Genomic DNA, 18,600 nt, shown 5'->3' on the forward strand with positions numbered 1-18,600 from the left:
AGAACTGTAGATATTGGGCTTATTAGATACAGACTTAAAAATAATTGAGATTAATATATTTGATTAATAGATGACAAAAATGAAGACTTTCACTACAGAATTGAAATTGTTAAAAAGCAAGTGGAAATTCTGGATAAGAAAATATAATAACAAAATTACTTGAATTAATTAACTCAGATGGGTTTAAGTGGAAACTGAACATACTCGAAAAGGGAATTAATAAGCTGGAAAATAATCAGTACAAAATATCTAGATTGAAGAGTTAAAAGTAAAAATTATAAAAAGTAGAGAAAATTGTGTAAGAGATTTATGGGGCATGGACTAATATGTATAATTGGAGTCACAGAAGGGTAGGAGAGAGATTGGAGTAGAAGAGATTGAAGTAGATACTTCAACAGAAGAAGCATTAATGGCTGAGAATGTTCAAAACCAATGAAAGACAACATCACAAAATCAAAATGCACTTGCAACCCAAAGCAAGGTAAGTACAAAGAAATCATGGATAAATACTTAACAGAAAAACTGCCAAGAACCAAAGTGATAGATTAGATATTAGCATCTAGAAAAAACAAAAGCACAATACCTTCAAAAGAGTAATAACATGACTGACAGCTGGCTTCTTAAAAGAAATACCAGAAGCTGAACGAAAATGTCTGCCAACTTAGAATTTTATATACAGCAGAAATATCCTTCATAATTATGATGAAATAAGAAATATTTCCAGACAAAATGAAGGAAATTATCACCAGCAGAAAATATGCAAAAGAAATACTCAGTAACTAAAGAGAGCTTTCCAGGCAGAAAGAATCTCAGCAGAAACAAAGTGAAAGCAATAACAATAGCAACAACAGCAACAGCAAAAGGAAAGGAAAAGCAACAGAAATGGTCAATACAGTCAGTTCTGTTACAGCACATTTCTAAAAATCACAAAACTATACAAAATTAATAATGAAAACCGCAGGCTTAGAGGGAAAATGAGTTTACATTTACAGCATTTAAAAATTTCATAGTTGACACGAAAATATAGACAGAAACCTAATGAAAACTAGCAAAGTTTTACACATTAAGTGGTTAAGAAACATATCAGTTCTACAATAAATATGGCGTTTTATCTTGAAAAAAACTTTGTGTGTGTGTGAACGTGGGTATCAGAAAGTTTGCAGCTTGTGAAGTGGTGAAAGTAAGGTTATCTGAAATTTGACAAAAAGTTGTAATGGATATAGCTCATAACACACATGGTGAACTGAGGCAGCTGACAGATGTTTGAGATGAATACCTGTGTACATTTTTATATTTTATTTTGCTCAGTTAAGCTGAGCACAGTTTTTCTTTTTTTGCATTCACCTGTGTTTCTCATGGATAAAATTGAGCAAAAGCAAATGCAAAATTTACATTATACTAAAGTGATTTTCTAGTATATCAATTGCATTAAAACAAATTCATGTTTTCAAAGCAAGCATTATAGAAGCACTGACTGTATGAAAGAAAACCTAAATAAATATTGGTTGTACAAAGCAATAAGAGATATGTGCATAATTAACATTTATGACAATATTGGCACAAAAGTTTGCAAGGGGGAAATGATGTTAAATTTTTTTTATGATCATAATATGGTTTGGGAAGTGGAAATAGTACTAATTTAGTCCTAATAACTCAAAAGGCATGTAGTAATTTCTAGGGATATAAAAAGTATACCTAAGAAACTAACAGAGGACAATAAGTAGAATTATAAAATAAATACGGGTTAAATCCAAAGAAAAGCAAGAAATGAGAGAAGGGAGGGAAAACAGGTGGACTAAATAAAAAAATAGTAAAATAATAGATCCAAACTTAAATATATCAGTAACCACAGTAAATAAAAGGGATCTAAATACTCCAATCAAAAGACAGAGATTGTCAGATTATATTTAAAAAATTCTCTGTGATACTTACAAGAGACATCATGTATATATAAGTATGCACAAACCTGAAAAAAGTGAATCAAAAAAATATATTAAGTGTATCAGTTTGCTATTGATACTGTAACGAACCACCAAAAACATTACTTAAAACAATATGAATGTATTATCTTACAGTTTTTTCAGGCAAAAATCTGAAATTGATCTTATGGGGCTGAAATTAAGGTATCAGTAGAGTTGCATTCGTTCTAGAGGGTAGAGGAGAGAATCTGTTCCTTGCCTTTTGCAGCCTGCATTCTTTGTCTTGTGACCCTATTCCAGCAATCATATCACTCTCACCTCTGCTTTTCTCATCATATTTCTTTCTCTGATGCTCCTAACTGGCTTATATGAAACACTGTTCTCAACAATGGCACCACACATACTTCGTTTAAATGCATGTGAAACATTTATCAAAATTGAGCATATAATATGTCATAGAGTAAGTCTCCACATTTTGAAAGATTAAAATCATTGAGAGTACAATCTTTGTGTCTGAACACATTGTAATTAAACTCAAATTCAATAATATAAAGATAACTAGAACACCCCAAATGTTTTGGAAACAACCCATGGGTCAAGGAGGAAATAACAATGGCAATGAAAATATTTTGAATTGAATAATTTTGAAAATTAGACATATTAAAAATTGTGGAATGCAACCAAACCTGTGTTAAGAGGAAAATTTATAGCTCTAAATGCTTTACTATAAAAGAAAAAAAGCTGAAAATCAATGATATAAGTATCCATTACAAAAGTTACAAGATAACAGGAAATTAAACATGAAAAGCAGAAAGATTAAGATAATTAATGTAAAATAGGAATTAATAAAATAAAATAAGAGAAAAATTACCAAAGTCAAAATTTAGTTCTTTGAAAAATTAGTAAAATTGATAAACCCCAAGAAAGATTGATCAAGGAAAAAAGAGAGTACAAATGACTACAATTAGGCATTAGAGGAAATAACTAAATTTTCCACAGACATATATTAAAATAATGATATATTGTCAATATATTTGGTAGTATAGATAAAATTAAAGCTTATAATTTACCAAAAATTATACAAAAGGTAATTAAATATAAATAGTCCTACATGTATTTATACACAAACACCTTCCCCCCATCCCCAAAATCTCCAGGTCCAGAGCCTTCATCAGTGAAATTGAAATGCTTAAAGAAATAACATCAATTTTAAGAAGCTCTTCTAGAGAATAGAATGGCAAGCAACACCTTCCAACTTACCTTTCAAAGCCAGCGTAACTTTGATACTAAAATGTGAGAAAGATGTAAAAATACAGGCCAATTTCTCTCAAGGATGTAGATGCAAAATTCTACTCAAAATGCTAGCAATTTGAACCAGTAATGTATATGCAGAGGATAATACATAAACAGTAAACTGGGTATTAACAGTAAACTGGGTATATTCCAGGTATTCCAGGTATGCAAGTTGGCTTCACATGAAAAAAATCAGTCAATGTAATAAATCACATTAATAGAATAATAACAAATCACATACTCATCTCAATAGATGCAGTAAAATATATTTGACTAAATTCAACAGTCATTTCATGATTTAAAATAAAACTAACACCACCACCCCCGCCCCTCATGGAAAACTAGGACTAAAGAGGAATTTCTTTAACCTGATAAATGATATCTGCAAAAAATATATAGTAAATATTCTATTTTGTGGTGAGTTATTTAAAACTCTCCTGAGATTAAGACAATGCAAGGATTGCCTTACCACCTCTTCTTTTCAACACTGTACAGAGGTTTTAGCCAGAGCAATAAAGCACGAAAAAGGTGTTAGGATTGGAAAGCATGAAATACAACTGTCTTTATTCTTAGATGGCATAGAAATCTAAACATTATAGAAAATAGAAAAGAGTCTATGGTCAAACTATTCAAATAAGACAACTTAAGTGGGACTCTAGATACAAAGTGAATGTACAAATTCAATTGTATTTCTTTATACTAGCAACAAATAATTGCAAAGAAAATAATAAAAATATTGACATCAGCATCAGCAATCATCAAATACCTATAATTAAATCTAACAAAAGCTATATGAGGATTTTATACATAAATCTACAAAAACATTATTGAGAGAAATGAAAGCAGACAAATGGAGAGTCATTCTATGTTTGTGGATTAGAAATTTCAATATTGTAACTATTTCAATTTTTTATAATTGGTCTATGGATTCAGTGAAAAAACAATCAAAATCCCAGCACAATATTTTTCCTGGAAATGGACAAGTTAAAATCTTAATTATGTATGGAAATTCAGAGGGCCGAAAATACTCAAAGTATTAGTCAGTTTTTCTAATTGAAGAAGAAAAAAAGCTAAGATACACACTACAAGATTTTAATATTTGCTACAACATTATAGTAATTAAGACAATGTTGTATCAGCTGGAGGATAAATAAATAGGGTAATGTAACACATTAAGTCCAGAAATAAACCTACTAGTATGTGGTCACCTGATCACCGGATATATGATGACATTGACAGCAGTGAAGAGAGAAAAGAATGGTCATTTCAATGAATGGAATGTTTCAATTGGATATCCATGTGGAAAAAAGTGAATCTCACCTGTATGTCACTTTACACACAAAAATCAAATGCAGATGGATTATATTTCTAAATGTAAAAGGTAAATCAATAAAGCTCACAGAAGACAACATAGGAGAATATATTTGTGACTTTGGAGTAGGCAGAGAGTTTATCTTAAAGAGGACACAAAAGGCATTAGTCATAAAGGGAAATATTGATAAATTGGAATTCATTAAACTAAACAGCGCCTCTGAAAAATACACGGTTAAGAGAATGAGAAGGCGAGCCACCATGGGTAAACATACTTGGGATACATATTTAATAAAGACACATTCTCAGTATAAAACCAATTCACAATAAGAAAATGATAGACAACATAGTTAGAAATATGCATAGACTTGAACACGCATTTGAGAAAAGGATATCCAAATGGCCAATCAAGAGTGAACAAATCAATTGTAGAATATTCACAAAATGTAGTAGTATATAACATGAGAATAAAGAAATCACTACTACATGCAATAACACTGACGAATTTCACAAACGTTGCTCAGAAGAAGTCAGACAAAATAAAATACATATTGTATGAGTCTATTTACATACTCTTCAAAAATGGGCAAAAATAATGGATAGTAATTGACATCAGAACAGTGGTTACCTTTGGGGAGCCAAACTACTGGGGAGAGAGAAGTGTGGGTAATATTTTATTTCTCAGTCTGGGTGATAGTTACATGTGTTCACTTTGTGAAAATTGAGTTAGACACAGGATTTGTTGCATTTTTCTGTACACTTGTTACACTTCAATAAAAAGAAAATTTAAAAAATGAGGTGATAGAACACTCAAGTGCAAAGTTGAACTTAGATTAGACACTGCTAATATGTTTTTGGCACAATATGGGAATTTGAATATTATCTAGATAAGAGATGACATTAAAATATCTTTTAGTTTTTTGATGTATCATGGTATTATGGTTATTAAGGAGAGTGTTCTCATTTTTAGCAGAGGTAAACTGAAGGGATTATGAGTTAAGTGTCAAGATGTTGGCAACATACTTTGAAATGGTTCAGTGAAACATATGCATATATAAATACATATATATATGTGTATACACACAGGGAAAGCAAACACAGTCAAATGCTAACAAATATTTACAACTGTCAAATTTAGGATACTTATGATCAATGTGCCAATCTTTTGACTTTTTGTATGTTTACAAATATTTATCATAGTCAATTAGGAAAGAACATTCTGAGGCTTTAGAGTTAGTGTTTGTCTCCATGTGGCTTATGTGCCTGAGGTCCTATGGCTATGTATATTAGCCAGAGTGATATGTAACGTTGTTTTGCCTGTTTCCTCCAAATCTTGATCAGCTCATTTCACATTCCCTGGAGTCAGAACACAAGGCCCAGGCCAGCTGCCCCCTCGGACTACCAGATGTCAGGCTGCCCTTTGCGGACTTCTCACTTGCCAACCTCTTCCTTTTCCTTTTCTCCTCACCTTGGACACTGCCTTCCTTTTCTTCAGCCCCTTCTCATGGCACCAAGTGGTTCAACTCCATTGTTTTGGAACAAGGGAAAGAGAAACAAGAAAAATAAATATATCGCCCCAATTCACTGGAGGAGTCTGGAATTGAGCAAAATTAAAACAATTTCTCTGTAGCCAGCACCACAGCAGGAGCTGGGCTCTCTGACACATGTGAAACACTCTTTCTGTGTGTAAATATTTTTAAATTGCCTTGTTAAAGAAAAGAGGAAACCCAGGCAGAGTCATACATTGCCCAGATGTATCGGATCAGAAGAATGAAAGTGCAAAAGGTCAGAGACTCTATTCTGAAGAGGAGAGAATATCTCTATTATTTATAAAGGGCAGAATGAGGATTACGCGCATGAAGGAGAGAGATACAGACAGGCTGCCCCTGGAAAATTAATGGAGCACTGGAAGGTGCAAGCAGAAAAAAATCCTGGCCACCTGTGAATTGGGTTAGAGAAAAGAGGAAAGGCTTTTGTACAGATATCCTGCAATATGAGGGCTAAAGGTCTCCCTACAAGTAGGTGATTGCTTATTGATCCTAATTTCCCCTATGTACACTACTGAGGAACACCAAGAAGAAAAGTTCTTCCAACAAAAACAACGTTTTGATGTCTGTCCCTCACTCAATTTTAAAAATTTTCAAGGTGGACTTTGGAGTCAGACTACTCAGACTCTATTACTTATTTATTAATGATGTGACCTTGGACAAGTCACTTAACCTCTATCTCTAAATATTTTCTCATTTATAAAATGACAATATTATTAGTATGTACCTTATGGGCTTTCATTTAGTGTTAGTTACTATGTGTAAAAGGCTTGGAATGATGCCTGGCATAGATGAAATGCCATCTACTTGTAAACTGTGACTATGGTAATGGTGATGATGATGATGAGGAGGAGGAAGAGGAAGAGCAAAGAGGAAGAGCAGCAAAAAGAGCACTGCATAGGCATTATCTTCTTTTCAACAATCTTAACTTACAAATTTCTGTTTATGAAACCATCAGTTCAGCGGCAAGACCCCAGCTCTCCAAGTTGTTGCAGACTTCTTATTTTCTGTAACACTTCCAGCACTCAATCCATTAGTTGACGAGTTCTGTAGATTTGACCTTTTGTGTTTCTCCTATCTCTTACCTCATTTCATTAACAAAAATTTCACTCTAAGTTTGCTTCTTACCTGAAAAACTTGAGAGGACTTCTTGGTCTCACTGTATCCCTAGACCTCTCCCCTCCATGATGTCTCCACTCCATGTGTTGACAGATTGGGTAACGTAAAAACCTGCTCATAACCCTGCAATGGCTGCCCATTGCCTGTCAACTAAGCATGAAACCTTTAATCCAGCATATGGAGCCTTGGGAAATCCTGATCTGCATTTCTAGACTTAGTCTTTTTATTTATTGATGTGTATGCTAAATGTTCTATTCACACTAGATTTCTCATGGTTACCTGAATCTTGGTCAATTTCAGATTGCACTGCTTTTAGCTATATGGCCCTGGGCAATTAACCAGAGTATCAGTTTTCTCTTCTGTAAACTGGGAATAATAATAGACTTGACTTTGTAGTGTGATTATGAAGATTACAGGATTTAACACGTTAAAGATTTAGCACAAAGCCTCATACAAATTAAGTATTCAGTAAATGTCAGTTATGATGATGATAATGATGACATGAATGCTCTTGGTTATGCTGTTCTTTTACATACAACTTCCCTCATTTCTGTTTTCTTTTGACAAAACACATGCCATCCTTCAAGTCTTAAGTCTTTTCAGAAATCCTTCCCATTTATAGTCTTTTCTTACTCCATCCAACCAGGTGTCTGCTTTCCCTCTTCTGAATCCTCCAGATGCTCCCTTTTCTTTTATAAATTAGATTCCTGTGTGACCTACAATTATTTTTGTACTTAAAATGCCTTTCTGCAGCTTATCCTCACTTTAAAACCATAATAAAAATTTCTAAACAGGCAACTAACCCTTCGAAGGTAGGGACTGCTGCTTTACTCACCTTGGTATCAGTTGCAATATCTTGTGCAGCCATATGAAAAGCACTTATAGTGTCCTTAGTTGATAATTTAAGTTTAATGGATAAATTAACTATTAAGCTTTTTTTTTTTTTTTTTTTTTTCTGTTTTAGACGGAGTCTTGCTCTGTCGCCATCCAGGCTGGAGTGCTCTGGGGTGGTCTCAGCTCACTGCAACCTCCACCTCCCAGGCTCAACCGATTCTCCTGCCTCAGCCTCCCGAGTAGCTGGGATTACAGGCATGTACCACCACGCCTGGCTAATTTTTTTTTTGTATTTTTAGTAGAGACAGGGTTTCACCATGTTGGCCAGTCTGGTTTCAAACTGCTAACTTCAAGTAATCTTCCTGCCTCGGCCTCCAAAAGTGCTAGGATTACAGGCGTGAGCCACTGTGCCTGGCCAATTAACTATTAAGTTTAACTGATAAGTTCACTTTGCTAGATTACCTGTCATAGCTCCCAGGAATCCTATATTTTGAGAAGATAACCATAGAATTAGGTCTTAAATACTTCCTAAAGTCTCTGACTCCTGTAGGGGACTAGCTGTCCTTAGTACAACCATAAAATGATGGTATCCAAAATTGTTTGGAAAAAGTATTATGTTTTATATATTACTGTTAACAAATAAAGATCAAAATGATTCACATGATAATTATTGGGGGCAGGGAAGAATTCGCCATAATTTTTCCAGTGTTTAGGACTATAAAATTCTTAAGTCTCATCCTATTTTTTCTTCTCCCTCTGCAGGGAACTTTGCCCAAGCTTACCGTTTTTCCCCCGTATATTCTTCTGCACCCGTTTTTCACTTGTGTGTGAGGTGGTGGTGGGAAGTTTAAGGAATGAAAAGGATGCCTTCTCGTGGGAAGTCTCTCTAAACTACATTTCCTTATCTCCTTTACCCCATCTGCTCAATTCTAAAGTAGCTACTTGCCCCTAAAACCCTGCAGGAGTTTTAGCAGCAGAGAACTGCTGATTCCAGGCTTCAGAGGAAAATCAACAATTTCCTCCAGCCAAAACAGAGACTGTTTCTTTGGGAGGCTGTTACACCTGGAGACTGCACTTCCTGGAGCACCCTTCAGCAAACCAGACCACCTTAGGCAAGATTTTGAAAAACCAGACAGGTGCGATAATGAGGACTTTTTTTTCCCCCAGATTTATGACTTTATTGATACTCTCTCTATAGACTGGCTATATAAGAATCCACGCCCCATAAGCTGAGTAAGCGAGGACAAATCTGACCTAACCTAAGGAAGTTATAGATTCAAGAACTAATGATTAGTAAGTCTTCATCTTAGGACCAAGGGATTGCTTATGCTTATTGGTCCTGCTATAAGGCCAGGTCGCAGTGTCTCTCACCTGGATCTGCTACAGTCATGATTGAAAATTGCTGACTTACACAGGTAATAGACTCTCTTTAAAGATATCTCTCTAATGTATTTACTTTCCAGAAAGCAAAATGCCAGGCTGCTAACAGATGAGTTGTTTGTACTTTAAAAGTTTACTGTTCCAGTTAGGACATTCTTGATGGTATTTTGTATTCTCTTTGCAGTGCAGCCAGCTGATTCATGCTGTATTCTGAAGGTTATGAGTCTCCATGTGATGTTAAGAACTATATGTCTGAACCATTAAAGAAGAAGTGTATAAAATGCAATGCTGCTCAGTGGAAGTATATGAACCAGAAGTATTTCATTTTATGCCACGGCTCTGGTTACATTTGTAGCTTTTGAGCACTGGCATGTCTTCTACTTTCTCTCACTTTTGGAGTTATAGCTGTCTTCTCTGTTGGAAAAACATAGAGCAAGGTTGTTACCAGATAAGCTTTCTGTATTTATTAGATATATTTTCAATTCAACTCAAAAATGCCTATATCTACTGAGTTACTGCTGTAAGTAAGGTTTATGGCTAGATGCCAAGAGGCCTACCAAGCTGATTATGACATAGCTCCTGTTTTTTTTTTTTTTTGGTGGAGGAGGGAGCTTGTAAGTACACCCATAACTGAAAGGCATGGCAGAATGTGCTAGAGATTCTCAGAGGAGTACAAAGAAATAGATTCAAAAAGAAGGGAGAAACATTTGTTTAGAAGATGTGGAAAAATTGCATGAAAAAATATCTTTTGAGATGTGCACTGAAAGATGAGTAGGATTTGAAAAGACAGAGCTTGTTCAGGGTAAAGGAATTCCAGGAAAAAGGAACATCATGAATTCAGCTATAAAATCTGGGAAAGTGTGAAGTACAATTGAAGAAGAATGGGTAGTCATGGCTGAGGCCTTGGGGGCTTATAGAGGAATAGACAGATCTTTGCCCATCTAAGCCTCCTACTCCCCTCTCTAGTGTATATGAGTTATAACCCAATCAAAGACTACGTTTCCCATATTACTTTGGAATGGAGGCAGAAATGATGGGTTATTTCCAGGCCTCATGTGCCAGTTAGATATTAAATTATGGGATAACCTTGAAAGCCTCATATTGAAGTTGATATAGCTTCTGTCAGCTTGGATGCTGAATGACTGAGTGGAGCAGAGCACTCCCTACCTTTCCTTTCCTACCTTGAGTAGGAAAAGGAAAAAAAAATCCCTTCAGTGTGTTAAGCCACTGAGATATTGAGTTTTCTTAAGGCAGCTGTTGTTTACCTTTAATGTGGCAGTTAAAAGGGAAGGATAGACTTGGCCTATGTTTTTACAACTCAGCATGATATAGTAGAAAAAACTGTAGTCTAGAAAACATGGATTTCACTTATTTATTTGTTCATTCATTCATTTGCTCATTCATTCATTCATTTGCTCATTCATTCACTCATTCATTCATTTCATATTTATTGAGATTTTACAGACTGTCAAATCTGAATGCTGGACATGTTATGATTAACAATGCATAGTTCATGGCCCTATGGAACATACGGTGGAGTGGAAGAGAATGAAATATAACCAGGCTGTGAGGATACACTGCAATGTCTTATTTCCCAAAGTGTGGTCCTCAGACCAGCAGCATCAGCGTCACTCAGGAGCTTGTTAGAAATGCAGAATCTCAGGCCCCACTCTCAAATCAACAGAATCATAGACTGCATTTTTGACAAGATTCTAAGGTGATTTGTGGGCACATTAAAGTTTGAGAAGCCCTGGTAAAATGAGTGGTATTGTAGGGACAGGCAGGGGGCAATGAGGACTCAAAGAAAGGACACTTAGACTTGAAAGTTTCCAGAAGGCTCCCTAGACTAGATGGCAGCTAAACTGGCTTGTGAGCAGCACGTTTTGGTCATAAAGATTGTGCGAATTTGGGTAAGCCACATATGTTCAGCTTTGATTTTCTTGTCTATAAAAATAGGGATAGTATTACGAGGCTGTTTTGAGCTTCAGGACCTTCCAAGATTGTTTTGAAGCTCAAATATATGTAAAAGTAAGAGTGATTTGAATACTCAAAAACTGAATATGAATGGAAAACTTATACTTTTTCAGCGACAGTTAAATTATAGAAAAGATGTGTTCTTTGGCATAATAATGCATTTTAGCAGTGTTTAGTAAGAAAAAATATCTAGTATGGATTCTTTGTTTTGATTAAACACAGAACTGAAAGAAGTTTTTCCTCCTACTTATTGCAGAAGGGTGTAACATCTGAAAAATAGGTCTGGTATGTTGGTCAAATAGAGTGTCTGCTGGAGTTGGAAAATGCATTCTCTTGGGGTTTGTGCAGTCTGGACTTCAATCATTTGTGTTCTTATATAGTGTATCCAAAATATACATAGAGACAGTGGGAAGGGACTTTCTTCTGGCTAGGGGAAACATCAATTCCTTGACACAAACAAAAATTGAATTAAGAGTTTATTCTGAATTAATAGTACTGAGGAAGGTTAATGAAAAATAAACAAAGAGTAGTCATTAATTAAAAATATTAGCAATCCAGTAATATAGTCTCCGTATGGAGCATCCTCACTACTAACAGGCATCTTTAGCATTTATTAGATTTCAGGCAAGGCTCTCTTTAGTAGCCTTTGTTCAGGCACACAAAATGACCTGCTCCTTTATACTTCTGTACTTTTAAACAATCTATTTATTTATTTAGATGGAGTCTCACTCTGTCACCCAGGCTGGAGTGCAGTGGCACGATCTTGGCTTAATGCAGCCTCTGCCTCCTGGGTTCAAGCGATTCTCGTGCCTCACCCTCCCGGGTAGCATGTGCCTGCCACCACGCCCAGCTAATTTTTGTATTTTTAGTAGAGACGGGGTTTCACCATGTTGGCCAGGGTGGTCTTGAACTCCTGACCTCAAGTTATCCACCTGCCTTGGCCTCCCAAAGTGCTGGGATTACAGGCATGAGCCACCTCAACCAGCCCTTCTATGCTTTTGCACATGGTTTTTCCCTTTGCCTGGACTGTTCTTCCTCATCTTGATCACCTCGGCCGCCATCTCAGCCACCAGAAGACTTCCTGCAAGACTTGGTTCAGACATCACAGTTCAGACAGGATGAAGCCTTTATCAACCTTCCTCTGTAGTGCCATGCAGGCAAGAAAAGTGTATTGAATTACACTGTGTCCGTCATTCAATGTGTTTATCTCACACCTGATACTGTGACAGCCTGAGGACTGTACTGTGTCAACTCATTTCTTATCCTTAGCATCTGGCATGGTGCCCAGCACATAACAGGTCCTAAATAAATGTTTGTTGAATGAATATAAAAGTCTGGCAGCTTTAAGAATAAATAAATAAACAAAAAACTTCGTTCTAATCCTGATGGAAGTTTAGTTACTTCTGTCTCTCAGAAGGGGAATCCTGTCAAATAGTCTAACAATGTGTAAAAGGAGGTAGTTACTCACAGATCTTAGAGGTTTCTATCAAAACATGCTTAGATATTAATAGGTACCTAACATTAGAAATTCCTTAACCCAGAAAGGCTACTTATAGAAATTTATCTTAAGGTAATTAAGAATGTGCATAAAGACCTAGCTATAAAGATGATCATTTTATTCTGTTTATAATACCAAAACACTGTAAATGTGCTACGTAGCCAACAATTGTGTATTAGTTAAATAAATTATAGTATAAAATTAAAGCGATGATGTAAAATGTATTTACTAATTTGGAATGATATTCATGTTACAGCAAATGTAAAAAGCAGGTTACAAAATTGTATATTCACTAAGTTGCCATTTTATTAAAAAGAAAAAGAATTTAGATACTAAGAAGGAGAAGTCTGGGAAGAGATATACATGAAAATGCTAATAGAAATTTCCCCTAGCTGTTGAAATTATGTGTCGTTTAAATTTTTATCTTTGCCTATAGTTGTTCAACATTCTCACATTAAAATGTATTGATTGGATAATCATCTTTAAATTACAAGAGAAAACATATAATCCTCTTGAAGGCTTCTAGAAAGGCCCATCGCTTTTAACATTCTCCATATTCTTTCAAAAGCCTTCCTCTTTCAGTGGATTTCTAGAATACTATAGGCTGGTGAAGAAAAAGAGGATGGAATTAAGGAACAGAAGGTGTAGGACATGAATTCATTGTATCCATACTCTCCAAGATTAGCTGCTGAATGTAACCACTAGAAGTTGATGTTTGGGCTGGATGAGTTGTCCTTTTGGGACACTGATAGCAGGACTTGCAGTGAAGAGGAAGATGTGAGCCAGAGGTCAAAGATATTGACAAAATGAGGTATGTGTGATGTGCTTCTTAGACATGACAGGGAGCAGAGAGAGAGAGTGAAACAGCAAAGACTCATGTTCTTTAAAAGAATGTGACTTTTTTTTTGAAGTGAGTGAGGGAGTTTGGTTCTAAAAGCAGCATTGGGGAACAAAACACTCAGCACATCTATAGATCCTGAGGTCCACGAGATGTGAGAGAACAAATGGGTACCCCATAGAGTGTCATAGGGGGATATGGAGTACTGGGAGAGCCAGGTTTCAGTTAAGGCAGGAGGTGTTGTTGGTATTAGATCATAATAGTCTTACACCTCCAGGTCAAGTGGCAGTGGCTATCCCAGGGATTGTGGACTTTCATGTGTAGCTTAGGTTAGTTATTCTTGTGGAAAACTGCCCAAGAAGAATGAGACATCGTTCCTGGCTTTAGGTAACTTCTTCCAGGTAGGAAGCATACCTACCATACATAAAAAACATAGAAAACATTTTGATGTTGAGCCATTGCAGTTGGCTGTCAGGCTTCGCTTATAAAACCAGTTCAGCTGGATCTAAGCTTTTGAACTTATCACCCTTTGAAGGCAATCCCTGCCGCTGAGTCCCTTCTACTTTCTTGGCTGCTATCCGACACAACATGCTGAAATTCCATGTCATCAAGGAGGCACCAGACTGACTCACAGTGCAGCAAGGATTTAGAGAAAACACATCAGAGTAGCAGGGAAGAGCTGGAATGGGGATGATGCATGAGATTGACTGAATCAGCTCTTAAGAGATGAATAAGTTTACTTGACGGACACTGGGAATAACGTGAGTGAGCAAAGACATAACAGTGAGGATGAGCGTAATATGAATATTATAATAATTCTTTTTGTATCATTAAATTGTATTTTGTAACATTTCTAATTTCCTAGCCCATATTTTAAAATTAGGTTTATTAAGGTATACCTTACATATAATAAAATTTGCCCTTTTTAGTGTATAATTTGAGGAGTTACGCATTCAGTATCACAATCAAGATACAGAACTGCATTGTCCAATAAACCACATTGTCCAGTAGAAATAAACCACATATGTAACTTTACATTTCTAGTGGCCACATTAACAAAGTAAAAAGAAACAAGTGAAATTTAATAATATGGTTTATTTAACCAAATATATAAAAATATTCACTAGTAATCAATATAAAAGTTATTGACATTTTACATTTTTTTCAAATCTTTGAAGTCTGATGTGTCTTTTATACTTACAGCACATCTCAATTCAGACTAGTCACATTTCAAGTGTTTAATAGCCACATGTGTCCAGTGTGTACTGTAATAGACAGTAAAGATACAGATTATTCCCATCACACCAAAACGTTCTCTTGTATCCCTTTGCAGTCAATCTGTTTTCCCCAATCCTGCTTGACTCCTGGCAACTACTGATCTGTTTCTGTCCCTGTACATATTTATCAGAGTTGGAAAAACAGACCTGAGAGAGAGAGAAAGAGAGAGAGAGAGATTTTTAAGGAATTTGTTCCTGTGGTTGTAAAGGCTGGCAAATCTGAAATCTGCAGGGCAGGCCAGCAGGTTGGAGGCTCAAGGAAGAGTTGATGCTGTAGCTCAAGTCAGAAGGCAGTCTGAAGGCAGAATTTCTTTTTTATGGGAACCTTAATTTTTTTTCTGAAGGCCTTTATAAGGCCCACTCATATTGTCGGGGGCAATCTGCTTTACTCAAAGTTTACTTATTTAAATTTTAATCACATCTGAAAAACACCTTCCCATCCTTTTCATTTAGCAACTCCACTTCTGGGTATATACCCAAAGGAATTGAAAAGCAGGGTCTTAAAGAGATATTTATACACCCAACTTTATAGCAGCATTATTCACAATAGCCAAAAGATGGAAGCAACTCAAGTGTTCATCAAGAGATGAATGGATAAACAAAATGCAGCGTATACTGTTATTCAGCCTTAACAAAAGGAAATTCTGACATGTACTATAACACAGGTGAACCTTGAGACATCATGCTAAGTGAAATATGCTAGCCACAAAAAGGCAATAGTGTATGATTTTACTTATATGCGGTAACTAGAGTAGTCAAATTCACAGAGACAGAAGGTAGAAGGTTGATTTCCAGGGTCTGGGGGAAGGGGAGTGGAGAGTTATTGTTTAATGGGTATAGACCTGCCGTTCTGTAAGACGAAAAGATTTCTGGAGATAGGTTGTACAACAATGTGAATGAACTTAAAACTACTAAATTGTACTGTCAAAAATATTTAAGATAACAAATTTTATGTTACATGTATTTTACCACCACCACAACAAAAAACACCTTCAAAGCACATCTGTACTGATATTTCATGAAAAACTAGGTACCAGGACAGGCGTGGGGGCTCATGTCTGTCATCCAAGCATTTTGGGAGGCTAAGATGGGAGAATCACTTGAGCCCAGGAGTTTGAGACCAACCTGGGCAACATAGCAAGATCTTTCTCTCTAAAAAAAAATTACAACAAAAAACTGGGTACCATGGCTTAGCTAAGCAGGCACACAAAATTAACCATCATACTGTAAGTTTTCTCTTTTCTAGAATATTAGACAAATGGAATTATACAATAAGTAGCCCTCGGTGGCTGGCTTCTTTCACTTAACCTAATGCTTTTGAGATTTTTCTATGTTGTTGGAGGTATCAGGAGTTTATTCATTTTTATTACTGAGGAATATTCCATTGTATGGATATACTATAGTTTCCTTATCCATATACCAGTTGGTGGACACCTGGGTTGTTTCCAGTTTTGAGGTGTCATTAAGGCTGCTATGAGCATTCCCTTGTAGATCTTTGTTCTAGTTCATTTTGAGCATCATTGTATCATGTAGAATGCTTGTGGCAACAAGTAGCAGAAAAGCCGCCTCAGATAGAATAAAAATAAAGAAATGTATTATTTTATTAACAAAATCCAAAGAAGCATGGCTAACCCCACCCCCACCTGATGGTCCTTCCTTATCCATGCTGGTAGTGGAAGACAAAGGGCATATAATCTTGGGAGTTCTAGGGCCCTGCCCACTGCCAGTCCCTCTCCACACTACTACAGCTGATGCTTTCTGGAAAGCACACCTCCTGGCAGGAGGCCAAACAGCACAAAAATAGAGCATTAAACCACCAAAGCTAAGGACCCTCATGGAGTCCATTGCACCCTCTGCCACCTCCACTGGAATAGGTGCTGGTATCCACAGCTGAGAGATCCATAGATGGTTCACATCACAGGACTCTGTGCAGACAACCCCCAGTACTAGCCCAGAGCTGGGTAGACTCGCTGGGTGGCTAGACCCAGAAAAGAGACAATAATCACTGCAGTTTGGCTCACAGGAAGCCACATCCATAGGAAAAGGAGGAGAGTACTGCATCAAGGGAACACCCTGTGGGACAAAAGAATCTGAACAACAGCCTTCAGACCTAGACCTTCCCTCTGACATAGCCTACGCAAATGAGAAGGAAACAGAAAACCAACCTTGATAATATGACAAAACGAGGCTCTTCTACCCACCCCAAAATCACACTAGTTCACCAGCAATGGATCCAAACCAAGAAGAAATCCCTGACTTACCTGAAAAAGAATTCAGGAGGTTAGTTACTAAGCTAATCAGGGAGGGACCAGAGAAAGGTGAAACCTAATGCAAGGAAATCCAAAAAATGATACAAGAAGCGAAGGGAGAAATATTCATGGAAATAGACAGCTTAAAAAAAAACAACTAAAAATTCAGGAAACTTTGGACACACTTTTAGAAATGCAAAATGCTCTGGAAAGTCTCAGCGATAGAATTGAACAAGTAGAAGAAAGCAATTCAGAGCTCAAAGACAAGGTCTTCGAATTAACCCAGTTCAACAAAAAGAAAAAAATAAGAAAATATGAACAAAGCCTCCAAGAGGTCTGAGATTATGTTAAACAACCAAACCTAAGAAAAATTGGTGTACCTGAGGAAGAAGAGAATTCTAAAAGCCTGGAAAACATATTTGGGGGAATAATGGAGGAAAACTTCCCTGGCCTTGCTACAGACCTAGACTTTCGAATACAAGAAGCACAAAGAACACCTGGGAAATTCATCGCAAAAAGATTTTGCCTGGGCACATCAGGTTATTCAAAGTTAAGATGAAGGAAAGAATCTTAAGAGTTGTAAGACAGAAGCACCAGGTAACCTATAAAAGAAAACCTATCAGATTAACAGCAGGTTTCTCAGCAGAAACCTGACAAGCTAGAAGGGATTGGGGACCTATCTTCAGCCTCCTCAAACAAAACAATTATCAGCCAAGAATTTTGTGTCCAGAGAAACTAAGCATCATATATGATGGAAAGATACAGTCATGTTCAGACAAACAAATGCTTAGAGAATTCACCATTACCAAACTACCACTACAAGAACTGCTAAAAGAAGCTCTAAATCTCGAAGCAAATCTTGGAAACACATCAAAACAGCACCTCAAGTCAGTGTGGCAATTCCTCAGGGATCTAGAACTAGAAATACCATTTGACCCAGCCATCCTATTACTGGGTATATACCCAAAGGATTGTAAATCATGCTGCTATAAAGACACATGCACACGTATGTTTATTGTGGCACTATTCACAATAGCAAAGACTTGGAACCAACCCAAATGTCCAACAATGATAGACTGGATTAAGAAAATGTGGCACATATACACCATATACACCATGGAATACTATGCAACCATAAAAAATGATGAGTTCATGTCCTTTGTAGGGACATAGAGGAAGCTGGAAACCATCATTCTCAGCAAACTATCACAAGGACGAAAAACCAAACACTACATGTTCTCACTCATAGGTGGGAATTGAACAATGGGAACACATGGACACAGGAAGGGGAACATCACACACTGGGGCCTGTCGTGGGGTGGGGGGAGGGGGTAGGGATAGCATTTGGAGATATACCTAAT

General features: G+C 36.5%; 2 long non-coding RNA genes across 2 annotated transcripts in view; both read right to left on the minus strand.

The window, feature by feature from the left end:
* LOC285762 (uncharacterized) overlaps positions 1–18,600 on the minus strand; it is a 38,756-nt gene that overhangs the window by 17,944 nt on the left and 2,212 nt on the right. The window contains exon 2 of the long non-coding RNA NR_046100.1: positions 1,933–1,966. This is a non-coding gene — a long non-coding RNA (uncharacterized LOC285762). The remainder of the gene's footprint in view (positions 1–1,932; positions 1,967–18,600) is intronic.
* LOC107986525 (uncharacterized) overlaps positions 6,729–18,600 on the minus strand; it is a 28,005-nt gene continuing 16,133 nt past the window's right edge. Inside the window, exon 3 of the long non-coding RNA XR_001743825.2 lies at positions 6,729–9,817. This is a non-coding gene — a long non-coding RNA (uncharacterized LOC107986525). The remainder of the gene's footprint in view (positions 9,818–18,600) is intronic.

The sequence above is a fragment of the Homo sapiens genome, chromosome 6 (genome assembly GCF_000001405.40).
Source record: "Homo sapiens chromosome 6, GRCh38.p14 Primary Assembly".
NCBI lineage: Eukaryota > Metazoa > Chordata > Mammalia > Primates > Hominidae > Homo > Homo sapiens.